Source organism: Homo sapiens, chromosome 7 (assembly GCF_000001405.40).
Source record: "Homo sapiens chromosome 7, GRCh38.p14 Primary Assembly".
Taxonomy (NCBI): Eukaryota; Metazoa; Chordata; class Mammalia; order Primates; family Hominidae; genus Homo; species Homo sapiens.
The window spans coordinates 12982948-12999185 of record NC_000007.14 but is presented as its reverse complement, the minus strand read 5'-3'; the positions used below and the strand labels follow the sequence as shown (position 1 = coordinate 12999185).

At 36.8% G+C, this 16238-nt stretch overlaps 1 long non-coding RNA gene across 1 annotated transcript in view, besides 1 other annotated feature; it reads right to left on the bottom strand.

Annotated features, from left to right (window-relative positions):
• LOC105375158 (uncharacterized) overlaps positions 1–16238 on the bottom strand; it is a 130320-nt gene that overhangs the window by 62812 nt on the left and 51270 nt on the right. The gene's annotated exons all lie outside the window — the stretch shown is intronic.
• Positions 8455–8655: a silencer, noted in NCBI's record as "peak6391 fragment used in MPRA reporter construct". NCBI's record gives its function as "represses an SCP1 promoter by STARR-seq MPRAs in K562 erythroleukemia cells {active_cell/tissue: K562}" and the evidence as "EXISTENCE:reporter gene assay evidence [ECO:0000049][PMID:32103011]".

Below are 16238 nucleotides of genomic sequence, written 5' to 3'. Positions count from 1 at the left end.
CACAAGAAAAGAAAATTTCAGGCCAATATCCCTGATGAACATTGATGCAAAAATCCTCAATAAAATACTGGCAAAGCAAATCCAGCAGCACATCAGAAAGTTTATCCACCATGATCAAGTGGGCTTCATCCCTGGAATGAAAGTCTGGTTCAGCATACTCAGGTTAACAAACAGAATCCATCACATAAACAGAACCAATGGCAAAAACCACATGATTATCTCAATAGATGCAGAAAAGGCCTTTGATAAAAATCAACACCCCTTCATGCTAAAAATATTACAATAAACTAGGTATTGATGGAATGTATCTCAAAATAATAAAAGTTATTTATGACAAACCCACAGCCAATATCATACTGAATGGGCAAAAGCTGGAAGCATTCCCTTTGAAAACCAGCATTACGCAAGGGTGCCCTCTCTCACCACTCCTATTCAACATAGTATTGCAAGTTCTGGCCAGGGCAATCAGGCAAGAGAAGGAAATAAAGGGTATTCAAACAGGAAGAGAAGAAGTCAAATCATCCCTGTTTGCATAAGACATAATTGTACATTTCGACAACCCCATCATCTCAGCCCAAAAACTCCTTAAGCTGATAAACAACTTCAGCAAAGTCTCAGGATACAAAATCAGTGTGCAAAAATCACAAGCATTCCTATACACCAATAACAGACAAACAGCCAAATCAGGAGTGAACTCCCATTCACAATTGCTGCAAAGAGAATAAAATACTTAGGAATACAACTTACATGGGATGTGAAGGACCTCTTAAAGGAAAACTATAAACGACTACACAAGGAAATAAGAGAGGACACAAATGGAAAAACATTCCATGCTCACGGATAGGAAGAATCAATATCATGAAAAATGGCCACACTGCCCAAAGTAATTTATAGATTCAATGATATTCTCATTAAGCAACCATTGACTTTCATCACATAATTAGAAAAAACTACCTAAAATTTCACATGGAACCAAAAAAGAGTCTGTATAGCCTCTAAGCAAAAAGAACAAAGCTGGAGGCATCATGATACCTGACTTCAAACTATACTACAAGGCTACAGTAACCAAAACAGCATAGTACTGGTACCGAAACAGAACAGAGGCCTCAGAAACAACACCACACTCTACAACCATCTGATTTTTGACAAATCTGAGAAAAACAAGCAATGGGGAAACGATTCCCTATTTAATAAATGGTGTTGGGAAAACTGGCTAGCCATATGCATTAAACTGAAACTAGACCCCTTCCTTATACCTTATAAAAAAATTAACTCAAAATGGATTAAGGACTTAAACGTAAGACCTAAAACTATGAAAACCCTAGAAGAAAACCTAGGCAATACCATTCAGAACACAGGCATGGGCACAGACTTCATGACTAAAACATCAAAAATACTTGCAACAAAAGCCAAAATTCACAAACGAGATCTAATCAAACCAAAGAGCTTCTGCACAGCAAAAGAAACTATCATCAGAGTGAACAGGCAACCTACAGAATAGAAGAAAAACTGTGCAATCTATCCATCTGACAAAGGGCTAATATCCAGAATCTACAAGAAACTTAAACAAATTTACCAAAAAAAAAATATAAAACCATAAAAAAGTGGGCAAAGGATATGAACAGACATTTCTCAAAAGAAGACATTTATGCAGCCAACAAACATATGAAAAAAAGCTCATCATCACTGGTCATTAGAGAAATGCAAATCAAAACCACAATGAGATATCATATCCCACCAGTTAGAATGTCGATCATTAAAAAGTCAGGAAACAACAGATGCCGGTGAGGATGTGGAGAAACAGAAACACTTTTACACTGTTGGTGGGAGTGTAAATTAGTTCAACCATTGTGGAAAACAGTGTGGCAATTCCTCAAGGACCTAGAACTAGAAATACCATTTGACCCAGCAATCCCATCACTGGGTATACACCCAAAGGATTATAAATCATTCTACTATAAAGTCACATGCACATGTATATTTATTGCGGCATTATTCACAATAGCAAAGATTTGGAACCAACCCAAATGTCCATCAATGATAGACTGGATAAAGACAATGTGGCACATATACACCATGGAATACTATGCAGCCTTAAAAAAGAATGAGTTCATGTCCTTTGCAGGATGAAGCTGGAAACCATCATTCTCATCAAACTAACACAGGAACAGAAAACCAAACACTGCATGTTCTCACTCAAAAGTGGGAGTTGAACAATGAGAACACATGGACACAGGGAGGGGAACATCGGACACAGGGAGGGGAACATCACACGCTGGGGCCTGTTGCGGGGTGGGGAGCGAGGGGAGGGATAGCATTAGGAGAAATACCTAATGTAGATGACAGGTTGATGGGTGCAGCAAACCACCATGGCACATGTATCCTTATGTAACAAGCCTGCACATTCTGCACATGTATCTCAGAGCTTAAAGTATAATAAAAAATAAATGAATAAAATAAAAAGAGAAACTCTGCCACACATGACAATATTAATGAACCTGGAGGACATTAATATGCTAAGTGAAATAAGCCAATCACAGCAGGACAAATATTGCATAATTCCACTTAAATGAGGTATATAAAATAGTCACAAACATGGAAAAATACAGAGTAGAATGGTGGTTTCCAGGGCTGAAAGGAGGGAGAAACAGGCAGTTGCTGTTCAACTAGTATAAACTTTCAGTTGTATAAGATTAATAAATTCTAGAGATCTGCTGTACAAGACTATGCCTATAATTAACAATACCAATTTTAAACTGTAAAATTTGTTGAGGGTAGATTTCATGTTAAGTGTTCCTACTATAATTGAGAAAAAGAAAGAAAGAGAAAGAGGGACAGAGAAAGAGAAAGAGAGACAGGGAGAGAAAGAGGGAAAGGAAAGGAAAGGAGAAAGGAAAGAGGAAAGGAAAGGAAAGAAAGAGAAAGAACGAAAAGGAAGGAAGAAAGGAAGGAAGGAAAGAAAGAAAGAGAGAAAGGAAGACAGAAAGAAAGAAAGAAAAAGAAAAAGAAAGAGAAAGAAAGAAAAGAAAGAGAAAAAGAAAAGAGAGAGGAAGGAAGGAAGAAAGGAAGGAAGGAAGGGAGAAAGAAAGGAAGGGAGGAAGGGGAGAGAAGACTGACTCACCTTAGGTTTCTTTCTTTCATCTCTTATATCCAAATCTTGAGTGATTCTTATAAAAAATTATTTTTACTTTGAAAATCTGCATTATTCAAAACCTCATCGACTTTTAGTCAGACTGTTGAAACAGCTTTCTAACTACTTTTCACCACTTCTTATCTCACTCCTTCTCAAAATATATCAAAACTGCCAGCATTTTGTAAGTCCCATCATGTCTCTCACCTGGAGTTAAGATTTTTACTGATTCTTTATTTTCTATAAAGTTCAAATTCTTTAATATAGAATGTTAGGCCTTATATAATTTATCTATCCATCTCCCACCACTTCAATAACTCTTGGTTCTGCAATGGCAAAAAAATAATTTAGATCCCTAAATATATCATGATCTGTGCCCTTTCACATGCTGCCCCCTCTTCCCGAAATGATCTTTCCGGCCACATTCACTGGAATGCCTAGAAATTAATATTCATTTTCAAAACTCAGCATAACCACTACCACCTAAAAGAAGCTTCTTTTCTCCTCTTCCTTTCCCTGAAGACAGAATTAATCACTCCTTTTCTGTGCTGCTTATATATTTTAGACATAATTATATCATTAAGTAGATTCTGTAATTGTTTACATATCTATGTTCATTACTTGAATGTGATATTAAAGTCAAGAGTATTGTATCTATTCCTCTTTTATTCACCCATGTCAAGTACTGTAAACTGTGACCATTAACAAATCTGTATTGAATGAATCAATGCCTATTTGCATGCAAGCATGATAAATCAACTGATTAATGCCATTGCAGTTTCCAGCTATCCAACTTGCTTGAGTTCTCTGTAACTGGCAATCATCTTGATCCTCCTTTGGTATATTCTTAGTCTTCATATAGTAACTGGATATCATCAGAGAGATAATTATTTTCTTCATATACGCAAAGTAAACTTAGATTATTCCCATATCATAACTGCAGGACTCAATATTGACTGTATATTAGAGTCACTTTGGGAAGGCTTTCAAAGAATATTCCAATATCTAGATCCTTACCCCAGAGATACAATTTATCTTTATTGGGACTCAGGCATTATATTGTAAAAGCTTCCCAATGATTGTAATGCACAGTCAAGGAAGAGATCCACCATTAATAAATTTCAGAGACACTAGTGGAAATTTAAAGTACAAAGCATTGGATAAATAACCCTTCCCAGATACAACAGCAGGTTTGAACAGGGAGAAATAATGCCAAAACCTAAATACATATACCCCATCTGTGTGCTAAGAGGTGCAATGCCGTTTCACAAGTGTCATCTCTTCTATCCTCTAATCCCCTCTGAATGGTCTTCACTATTTATCCTTTACTCATCCAACTGGTAAGCCAGCCAGGTGGAGAAATGGAAAACCTACCTATTCTGGCACATTTTCCCTTGACAGTTGGTAGATAGCAATTTGGTTCTGACCTGAAGGAACACAAGTGGTAAACTAATCACTGGTGTGAATAGTTCCCAGCCACTGCCCAAATAGAGCTCCCTTGGAGTGGACAGTGGTATAAGCAATTAAACCGAATAATCTATTCTCTATAAGCATAAGAATCTTATGAGCATGATGGTCAAATAGTGCATTTTTATCCATATATGTTATTCTCAAACTCCTCCAAATTTTCTGTCACCTACATCTGTAAGGGAAGCCATTAATAAACTGCAAATTAAATGGGTCTGTAATTCTATCTTCTTTCTCTGCTCTTATGAAGCAGTGAAGAAAAAAAGTTTAAAAAAAAGCAAAAAAGAGAGCAATATTCTAATTCTAATATAACCATAATGGGGAGGAGAAAGAAGGAGAAAAAGAGAGAGAATTGGAGAGGGATGGATAGGGAGGGAGAATCAGAAACTTTATATCAGATTAAAGCCTACGTAGAAACAGATGTAGACATCTTTACAATTAAGAAGTTTAACCCAGTTTGAATAAAATAAATATTATAAGACCTTAGGAGGAAATTTTAAAACTGGAAAGATGATGGAGGTTTTGAAAATATATGTTTGAAACCCTGTGCTTCAGTATCAGTGATTCTTTTACCAAAATTACACTTGCAGGGTGTATGTCTGTGTGTGTCTCAAAAAGTCTTAAATCTGAGAAGAACTTATAAACTTAGTGAAGTACAAATTAAGAGTAATTAACATTAAAAACATTCTGAGAGGAAAAATTGGGGGAAAGGGATTTCATTAATAAATTATTTTTTAATATATAATGGACTAATCAGTCTACAATCTCTCTCTCCAAATGCATACGATATTTTTACAGCGCATATTTATTTGCATATTTATTAAGCACTTGTGGTATGACAGGTACAAGTTGTTAGGGACATAGGGATGAGCAAAACAGATATGGTCCCTTTTCCTGCAAAATTTACATTCTGGTTTGGGAAGGCAATGAGAGACAACAAATGAATAATTCTGGATTGTAATAAATGTCATAAAAAATCTGAAAAAATAATAAATGTTGCCTGATAATTTTATCTATGGTAGACAGAAGTTTGACATTTCCAGGATAGACAACTTTAGGTATATGGAGACATTTTAACAGTGTGTAGCTAGCAAGATATTGGGTGCTGAATCAGGAATGGTTTATGGGTTATTTTATCCGTGATGTAAGCATATAGCTTTCTATTTCTGGTTGCTGATATCTGCTTATTTTTTCCTCCAAGCAATACATACTCCAACACATACAGTCACAGAATGCTGTAGTTTCCTTTTTGGGGACAGAACAGTTTTATAGCCTCAATTTATTACACAGAAAATATATGTACACACACACACTCAGATATCTCTAGTGATGGGTTAATTTGCATGATTCATAGTCTGCAGAGAGAGAAATCTCATGAAAGACCTTCTTTAAAATAACCTGTTGACACACTGGAAATTCATACTGTTGATACAGTAAATATGGTTGGCCTAATGTGAGTGAATGGGAAAATTTTCCACTTGTCATTTTGAAAATCTAACATCTATGCAGCTATTAACTAAAAGCAAGGTTGGATTTTTTTTAATCTGAAAATTTTTTTTAAAACCTAAGCAATTTTGAGTCTTATATGAGGCTTTCTGTGGGTACATACATGTTGGGAAGAGGAACAAGGAAAGAATATTAATATTATAAAGGAGTTGCTACGGAGATGTGGTCATCTTTTATTTCTTCAACATGTTTGAAAATGCACGTACATTTTCAGAGACATTAAGGAAACAATTTTGGTTAGTACATAGGGTTTTCTTTCAGTCTCTTTTCTTCCAATCATGTGGAAAATAAGGATGAGGAAAATATCACCTGTGCTCACAAAATTTCATACCTACTCTTATCCTCAGTCTCTAACAAGAAGAATGACACCAGTTTTGAAACATTTATGATTTATAGATATGGAAAATGTCCTAACAACAGCTGGGTTGGAACTGGTTTATTATTACTTTGTAAAATTCAGGTATGCAAAATAAAACATAAACTTTGATAGTTAACCTCTCCATCACCCTCCTAGAAAGTAAAAATAATGTTTGATTGTTTTCCTCAAGTTACAAGCAGTAGAGCCCACCACATAGCAAAGACACGAAAGACGGAAGAATTAGTAGAACAGCATGGAATGAAAAAAACTGGTAAAAAGGAACTCCAGATGGAGTGCTCCCAATGGCAAAGTAGTTGAAATGTAGGCCTAGGGGTGGCATGACTTTACCTATAGAGCTGTAACCCTCAGAGTTTGCTAAAATATGCAGAGCTCAACAAACACATTACAGACTGGAGGTGCAGTGAGATATTTCTGCTTACCATTTCCTACAGCGAAACGATATAAGTGAGTAAACTATGGTGCAGTTGAGATGAGAGAACTGAGTGTTAATCCCAGGACTCCCACAATATTATTTTGGGACCTCGGTATGCAGGAAAAATGTCTGCAAAACTAATTTGTTCCTCCCTCTTAATAGACTCAAAGATCACTAGCAAGGTGAACAGTAGCAGGCATTTCATAAACACTGATCCTGATAATGGCTGTTAGGGGAGACCACTAAAGATAGGCCATTTAAAAGCAAAGTGATGCACAAATGTTGAACACTAGCAGAGTCTACCTCTGAAAAGGGAGGAAACATATATTTTATGGGAGCTATGGAATAGGTAATAAGATTATTACATCTGGTTTGTAGCTAGCCAAAGAAATGGGAAATACAAATTTTCCTGAGTATCAGTTTCATGACTATCATGTACATAAAGCTAGACTTTTTTCAATGCACATAGATAACCAAGCAGACAATATATTGAAAATGTCCTTTTATAAAAATAGTTCAATTTTATCTGCTATTATAAACAGTAGTAGTAAAAGTAGTGATCAATTTTATCTGTTGAGTATCTCAGGAGTGAGGTACAAAAATAGGATACAAGGGACATAATTAAGAACTATGGAAAAGAGAAGTGAATTTTAAACAGATGTATACCATTGCCTTCACAGATCACAATTGTTTTTTAAAAAACAGCTTTATTGAGATATAGTGAACATACTATTCACTCATTTGACGTGTAAAATTCAAACATTTTTAGTATATTCATAGGATTGTGTAACCATTACCACAAAATCTGACCCTAAAACATTTTCTAGCCGGGCACGGTGGCTCACGCCTGTAATCCCAGCACTTTAGAAGGCTGAGGCAGGTGGATCACAAGGTAAGGAGTTCGAGACCAGCCTGACCAACATGGTGAAACCCCGTCTCTACTAAAAATACAAAAATTAGCCAGGTGTGGTGGCACATGCCTGTAATCCCAGCTAATCCCAGCTACTCAGGAGGCTGAGGCAGGAGTATCGCTTGAACCCGGGAGGCAGAGGTTGCAGTGAGCCAAGATAGCGCCACTGCACTCCAACCTGGATGACAGAGCGAGACTCCATCTCAAAACAACAACAAAAAAAACCATTTTCTTTCTCCCTAGCCTCCTGCCCTTTAGCTGTCACTCCACATTTGCCCACCCTCACCCCCAGTGCTAGGCAGTGAATATTCTTATTTCTATCAATAAAGTTGCATATTCTGGACATATCCTATAAACGAAATAATATAATATGCTTAGCATAATATTTCCAAAATTCATCTGTGTTTAGCATACATCAGTACTTTTCCTCTGTATAGGCAAATAATAGCCTATTTTATGGATTTAACACACTTTATCCAATCATCAGTTGATAGATATATGAGTAATTTACACTTTTTGGATATTACGAATAATGCTATTATGAACACTTACATACAAGGTTTGTGTGGATCTATGTTTTCGTTCTCTTGAATATACATAGCTGAGTAGAATTGCTAGGTCATATGGTATCTGTTTAACAGGTAAAGAAACTGCTGAAATGTTTCCCAAAGCAGCTGCGTTTACCTTCCCATTAGCAAAGTATGAGAGTGTCAGTTTCCCAACATCCTCACCAACCCTTCTCATTATCTTTCTATTTGATTTTTTTCTTACTTTCGGCACTTTGGTTATGACTTGCAATGCCTTTGACCTTCATTGTTTTTGAGAAGTTAATTCTTCATGTTACTGGACTTCCCTTGTACATGATGAGTTATTTTTCTCTTGCTGCTTTCAAGATTTGCATCTATCTTTCAACATTTTGACAATAATGTGTCCGGTTGTCTATCTCTTTCCATCTGTCCTACTTAGATTTTGTTGAGCTTCTTGGAAGTGAAAATTAATGTTTTTCTTCATATTTAGGGAATTTCCAGACATAATTTTTTTGATATTTTTTTCTATCCTTTTCCTCTTACCTCTGGTACACTCATTACACGTATTTGTGTGTGTGTGTGCGCTTAATAGTGCCCTTTATTTCCTTAAGTTTTTCGTTTAATTATTTTTCCTCTCTGTTCTTCAGATTGCCTAATTTCTATTGATCTATCTTCAGTTTGCTGATTCTTTCCTCTGCCAGCTAAAATTTTTCATTTGGGCTTTTTCTTTTTTTACTTTTCAACTCCAAAATTCAATTTGTTTCTTTTAAGTATTTTTTCTTTATTGATTCTCTATTTAATAAGGCATCATCATCAGACCTTCCTTTAATTCGTAAACATGACTTCTTTTAGTCTTTGAATATCTTTATGATAGCTTTTTTGAAGTCTTCGTCTGCTAAATTCGCCATCCTACCATTAGGATATCTTCAAAGGCAGTTTTTATTGCCTGCTACTTTTTCCTGTGTTTGGGTTACATTTTCCCGTTTCTTTGCATATCTGATAATTTTTTTATTGAAAGCTAGACATTTTAGGTTTATTTTTAGCAAATCTGGATACTGAATACTGTTGGGGGGGGTTGTTCTTCTTGTTTGCTGGGTCCTTTGCTTATTTGATTAATTACTTAATTAAACCAATTCTGCAAATTCTAATTCCCTCCAAGTGTGCAGCCTCTGATGTCCCTGCACAGATTTCTTTCCCTTGTTTTAGCTCTTGGCCTCATTCCCTAGGGATCATCCTTGGGTTTGCATAAGCCACTTACTCATCAAGGGCTGGTGGCCTGGAGGCTGCTATCAGAGTTCAGGGAGTTTATATTTGTTGCCCTGTGTTTTTGCCACAGCCAAGTATCTTGAAAGTTATCTTTCCAAACTTTGTCAAGAAGGAAGTAGCTTTGGGCATATACAGTCATACAGACTGTCTGGAACTAGTGTGATTCTATTTTATATTTATCCTCCTAGGAGCAGCTCCCAGGTTAGAGCATGTTATTGTTTGATTTGTGTTTGATCAGAAGCTGTTCTTAAGCCTGTGGCAGTGCGGGCTCTGCCTTGTGTTGATGGGCCTGTGCACTTTGTGGGGATGCTTCAAGTCTTTCCATATCCTGCTTTGATTGTTTTTTTGAGACGTGGGCGACAGCCCAGGCTAGAGTGCTGGAGTGTAGTGGTGCGATCTGGACTCACTGCAAGCTCCGCCTCCTGGGTTCACGCCATTCTCCTGCCTCAGCCTCCCGAGTAGCTGGGACTACAGGCGCCCGCCACTACGCCCGGCTAATTTTTTGTATTTTTTAGTAAAGACGGGGTTTCACTGTGTTAGCCAGGATGGTCTTGATCTCCTGACCTTGTGATCCGCCCGCCTCGGCCTCCCAGAGTGCTGGGATCTCTGGTTGTTTCTGAAAGCACATGTGCACAGTCTTCCTGCCCCCAAGAATTGACTATGATCCCAAGAGGGCTCTTTTTGGTTATCTTTTTCTCTGTCACTCTCTATTAAACCTTTGGTTGCTCTGCCATTTTGCATACTTCATAGAGCTACCAGCCTTTTTAAATCACTTTCTGCCAAGATCTCCATAATTTTTAAAAATGCTCTTAAGTCATGGAATTCTCTATGCTCTGTTCCAAATAAAGGCAGTTTCCTGAGGAAAAGATATAGAGCTCCTTGTCTTTATGGCCTGCCTTTCCTCCTGGGTGGTACCCTTGTACTATTTCACCAGAGCTGGGGTAGGGACATACTTTTTCAAGAGTACATCTGCTCTATGAATTGTGACGAGCAAAAGGGCAGGGTGGCTGCCACTATTTTCTTAGCTTGCCCCACTGACATGGAACTTTCGCCCTATAAGTATGTTGGGGCAAAGGTGATAGGGGTCCCAGTAGTTTCAGCGTGTTGCATTTGGGGTTGAGCTTCATCTTTATGAGTAGGTACTGAGTAGGGAAAGGAAGATCTATTTCTCTAAGCCACATCCGCTTGGAAGAGAACTTCTGCAACAGTGGACTAGGATGACGGTGAGATGTAGAAACCATGGCCCGAGACTGGGAGGCTGGAGGAGAGGGAGCACCTCTCTTCTTGGTTGCAGCTGCCCAGAGAAGAACACCTGGGGTAGCACCTCTGTTAACATGGAGCTGGGGGTGGAAGTTAAATGGACACAACCTCGTGGCTCAAATGCCACGGCCTCTCACTGTTTCATTTACTCTACGGTTTTAGGACAATTTCCAGGGACTTTAAATTATTGTTGTTTTGCTGGGGGAAGGGTTCATCAAGCACCTTATGCTGCCATCCTGGAATTTCCATGTCCTTCACATTCCATAGTTTGATATTTAGCCAAGTAGCATAAATATATTATTCTGAATGACATGCCCCTTTTAAATTTCTTTTCCTACTTTACAAGGTTAGGAGTACGAAATGAGAAGAATGGCAGAAAAAGTATCCATGTGGAATACATTTTAATATGCTGATAACTTCCATGACCACATACACTGTACAAATAGGACTGATATATTCTCAGATACAGGAATCAAAACTATTTCAGAATCAGGCTTTGTCTATAAAGGCCCCCTCCGACTTCTGGACTCCTAAAACCTAGTTAGGCAGCAATGACATTTATGCTTTTTCCCTAAGGTGGTTTACTTTTTAAAATCTGAGGTTCTTTCAATTTGATAAATACTTTCAAGAATGATAAAGCAAGTTTAGTTCTTTTTTTTCTTTTATTTCCAATTCAAGAGAATCCCTTGAAAAGATATTAAATGTCAACTCAGGTGATAGGCATCTCCAGCTGGAATCAATATCCACAAGTATTAAGGATATTTTCTGACTATTCATTAAAACAGTAGGTTACATTTCTGGCAGAATTAAAATACTTAAAATTGCCTGAAGGGGTTAAGCAGGTCTAAGTTTCTGCAGAGTGTTTGTTTACTCATTAAATTGTGTTGGCTGCCAAACCTGGTAACCCAACCTTTATACTGATAGAGCACTATACCTTTTTCAAGGAGTTTGGCTACTTGTTATTTGAAGAAGAAAGTCATTCTAAAAACAATACAACATGGTTAGAAATGGCACAAATGAAATTGCACAGCAAAAGAAAAATCCAAGATTGGTTATTCAACAGGCAAGATAATTAAACTCTAAATTGATAGTTCAAATGCAGCAATGTAACCTAATATTATACCAAATATTATTCTGACTATACAAAAATAATTAGCTATAAACAGCATGGTTATCAAGAACCAACTCCAAGTAATATGGGTATGCTGATACGTCCCATCTCTTATTCTACCAAATATCTACCACTAAAAACTCGTGAATGTAATATTCGTTGGCAAAACTTTTCTGTATTTTTAATTACATAATGTCATGTTTGCTGTTCTTAAAAAGGCTTTGTTTCCAATAGTCTTTTTCACGTGTTCACTTATGTTTTTACTTATTTCAAATGAGATTTTTGTGTTGTAAAAGAAAAGCTATTGATATGCTAACAATGATGGTATTAGCATTTAATACTAATATTAAAATGTTATTGTTTTTTCCTCTCTATTTTCCAAGTTTCTGAAGAAATATTTTTAAATACATGGATATATACTAATTCGTACAGGCACAAGTAGCCAGTAATTTTAACTGGCTGTTTTTTCCTCATTGTTTTTTCCTCTTTATTGTCTACGTTTCTGAAGAAATATTTTTAAATACACGGAAATTTACTAAGGCATACAGGCACAAGTAGCCAGTAATTTTAACAGTAAAACATCAAATTTTTATGAATTATGTAGTAAAAACTAAAATATACTTTGCAAAGGTCCCCTGGAAATGGAAAGATCTGGAAAGCTGAAGTGGAAGCTTTTCTGGCCTCTCAGATTCATCTGAATGAGACTTTACCTCAAGTCTCCATATACTCTTTGAATCAGCACTAAGAGAAATAAAATACAAGTCACATATATAATTTTTAATTGGTAGCCATATTTTTAAAAAGTAAAAATTAAAAGGTGAAATTATTAATCATTTTTGCCATTTCTCCATGTAAAAATGGTTTCTTATTTTTAAAAAACCTAGCTTATTTACAAGCTTAGATCTTTTGAAAAATCATTAAAAACTTTTTGTTAGTCTTTTAATTCCAATTCTAACCAATTCATCAGTTCGTTTTGTCTGTTCTTTTAAAATATTATTTCAAGTGGCTAAACTCAATGACTTTTTGTTAGAAAAAATATCTTATCAAATTTACTATAAATCTGTTGAAAATGTCTCATGTTGTACACTTCTTCCACAACAAAAACGCTGCCCACTATTTTTACCTTTTTACATAAAAATAAAAGCGCTTTTTTGTTCTGCTGTGCCCTACTGAAATGCAATTCCATTCCTCATGAAATTTGTAACATGACTACTAATCTCTTGTTTTCTGTTTACTATTCTGGTGGTAGCATTTTCACTCAATGTTGCATCAGTAGTAAGCCTTCATTTAAAATGTAAAATGCATTCAATCTGAATCAATCTATTAACAATGACTAGATGCATGCAGCCAATCTGCATGTTAACAATAAGGCAATAACATCTTATGCAATGTGAAATGTAAGTTCTACCAAAACAATAAAGTTGGTTTAATGGAAAAATATTTTATACTACTTTGGTGTTGTAATTTAAATTAAAATTATATAAAATTAAAAATTTTTTTTCTTAAGTCACACTGTTTAGTGGTTGCTACAGTTTTAGATAAACACTTACCAGATCTTACTAATTAAAACAGATACTCCTAATATTCCCAGGTAATCCCCGCATGCTATTTCTCAATGATTTAATCTACCCACAAACAGCTTTGTTATCAGAGCTGGCAACTGTCAAACCCCTGGTGCAGGTGGACAAATTGGAGCCTGCAAAGGAATCTAGGGAGAAAGGCACATACAGCTGTGGACATGGGGCCATGTAATGTTGCTGGGGTAGTTGTCTATGGAAAGCTGTTGCCTTTGTGTAGCTACTGCTTCTGTTAGTCAGCAGCCCAAGGTCCAGTTATGGGGCCTGAAGGCCATGGCTGGGCAGCAGAGCCAGCAATCAGGAGTGATAACCTGGGGAGAGTGAGGACACACTTGAACCTGCCCTCACATCTGGGTTTTTTGACTGCCTCTCACAACACTGGCCTTCAGACACTAACAGCTACTAATTCACTTCCACCTTCCAAGTCTCACACAACCCAGGACCACAGAAGGGTGAGGGTTTGGAGAAACATCATTCCAGTGTAACCAAGCTGACACAATACAAACCATCACAGATACTGTGCTCAAAATCTCCTCTAAAGCAGAAGACATAATGATTTTTTTTTCAAATCAGTGTTTGAAAAATAAAACCAGAATTCCAGTTTCAACTATGATAATGTGAATAGAGATTAAATGCTTACTTCTGACAGAAATTCTACATAGAAGGGTAGCAAAGTATTGGATTTATAATTCCCTCACTTGAAAACAAGTACAAATCATGCTCTTCTCAGTAAATATATAATTTCAGTCATATTGTGCCCATCTTTGGCAATATTCTGACAAAAAGACAAATACTACCAATCTGAGAAGAAGTATTTCTAAATAATTTAACACTCCATTTGTTCAGGACACTGTCATTGAAGGAAGCAAACATTGTCTGTGGTGCGCAATCCTTCCTATTTATTGCTACACATATGGGCAAATATGAATTATTTCTATTTTCTGAGTAGTATAAAGATGCTGAAGTAGATTTAGGAAAACAATGTTAATATAGGATTTAAAAACAAGATTATATGTGAGAAGTGGTTCAGCCTTACCCAGACAGACACCTGATCTGTAATTCACATACTTCTCAGAACAAGGTAAGTGCATTATTAAAGACCAGGCTTCTTAGTAATTATCTATTAGTATTTTTTTTTTGCAGGAATGCAATTTCAGGGAAATAAATCTGAAGGCTACTTTCATTCTCATAAGAAAGGTACTCCCAGACCATTTTAAGTTTCCATTTACCCTAAGGCTAACAATTGGAAAGTTGTGGACCTTTTAAACTTTCAAATGGTCAGGGGACTTAGAAAAGCTCGCACGTGGCTTCAACCAGTAAAAAGTTTCTTTCAATTCTGCTCTTTGGCCGGAAGAACAGTCAACATTAATGAAATGATTTGTTAGATTAACTGTGTAAAGTACGCTAAAAATACAATCTTTTTTTTTCCTTGGTGGAAATTACTCTGACCAAACTTTACTCCTTTTGGTGAATTAACTTTTAAAATGACTGAATGGGAAAGGGCTTTTTGCTATTTTGCCTTGTATTGGTTTAATATTATTACTTTCAGTAGTTTGCCTGAGAAAAACAATGACCTCCTCCACTAATACCAGGAAGACCTTTCCAGGAAGCCAATGCCAAGGAAAGGAGAAAGTATTCACAGATGAAGAGGTACATACATCATGTGACACTTCCCCAGATTGCTTCATCCAAGTCTGTTGCTAATCCCTCCATCCTCTCCTCCAAGCACCCACCAGAATGCATGTCCCAGTACACCAGGAACAACTTCTGGCACACTATAAAGAATGATTCCAGTTGTGAGCAGAAGATACCAGGGCTTTTCACACAGAAAGCCTGATTGGAGAGACAAACAGTATTCACAACCTTCCTGGAAAGGAATCAGAAGGAGAAACTACTCCCCAGCAAGCATGGACCATTTCTAACAAAAAAGAGAAAGTGACTCAAGTCATGAAGCTAAAAGCCCAGATGAAGGAGCCAAGAGCCACAGAAACCCACTCCCAGGAACTCAAATGGCAACCTAGGTAGAGCTAGAGATATCTGCCTATCTACATCTCAGAATTTGCTTGGGACTAGTGACCGCTACATTTCTCCTGTTCTCTCTCATCGTCTCTGCCATCCAGTATCCTACTGAATAGGAGTATCTGTAACGGCTATTCTGTCCCTGTCTCGCCACTCTTATTGGGTGTATGGAAGGCAGCTAACTTATCTCTTTAGTTCACAGATTTTCCAATTGAAAGAAACCATATTTGTCTCATCCTTACCTGGAACCGATTGGAATATCAAGATTCTACACCTCAAGCCTGAGCCTAATCCCAGAATGGGCTGAGACACTGAGACATCTTGGGAAGGTGGAAGTATATTCTCCAGTTGTTAAGAACGTGGATTATGGTGAGTATACTAGATGAAGAGAGGGCAATTAGGAACCATTACAATGCTCCAGTAAAAAGTATGTATTATTACCTACATTAGGAAAATGTCAGTTGACCTACAGAGAAGTGGAGAGATTCAAGATATATATACAAGGTAGAATGGGCAAGTTTTGAAGGCTGATTGGATGTCAGGGTTGAGAGAAAGGCAACATTTTTGAACGATGCAACTTTAAAGTTTATATCTTACACAACTGAGTGGATAGTGATCCCAATTCACTATAAAACATGGGCAAAACAGGAGGTTCATTGCGGAGAATGAGAGTT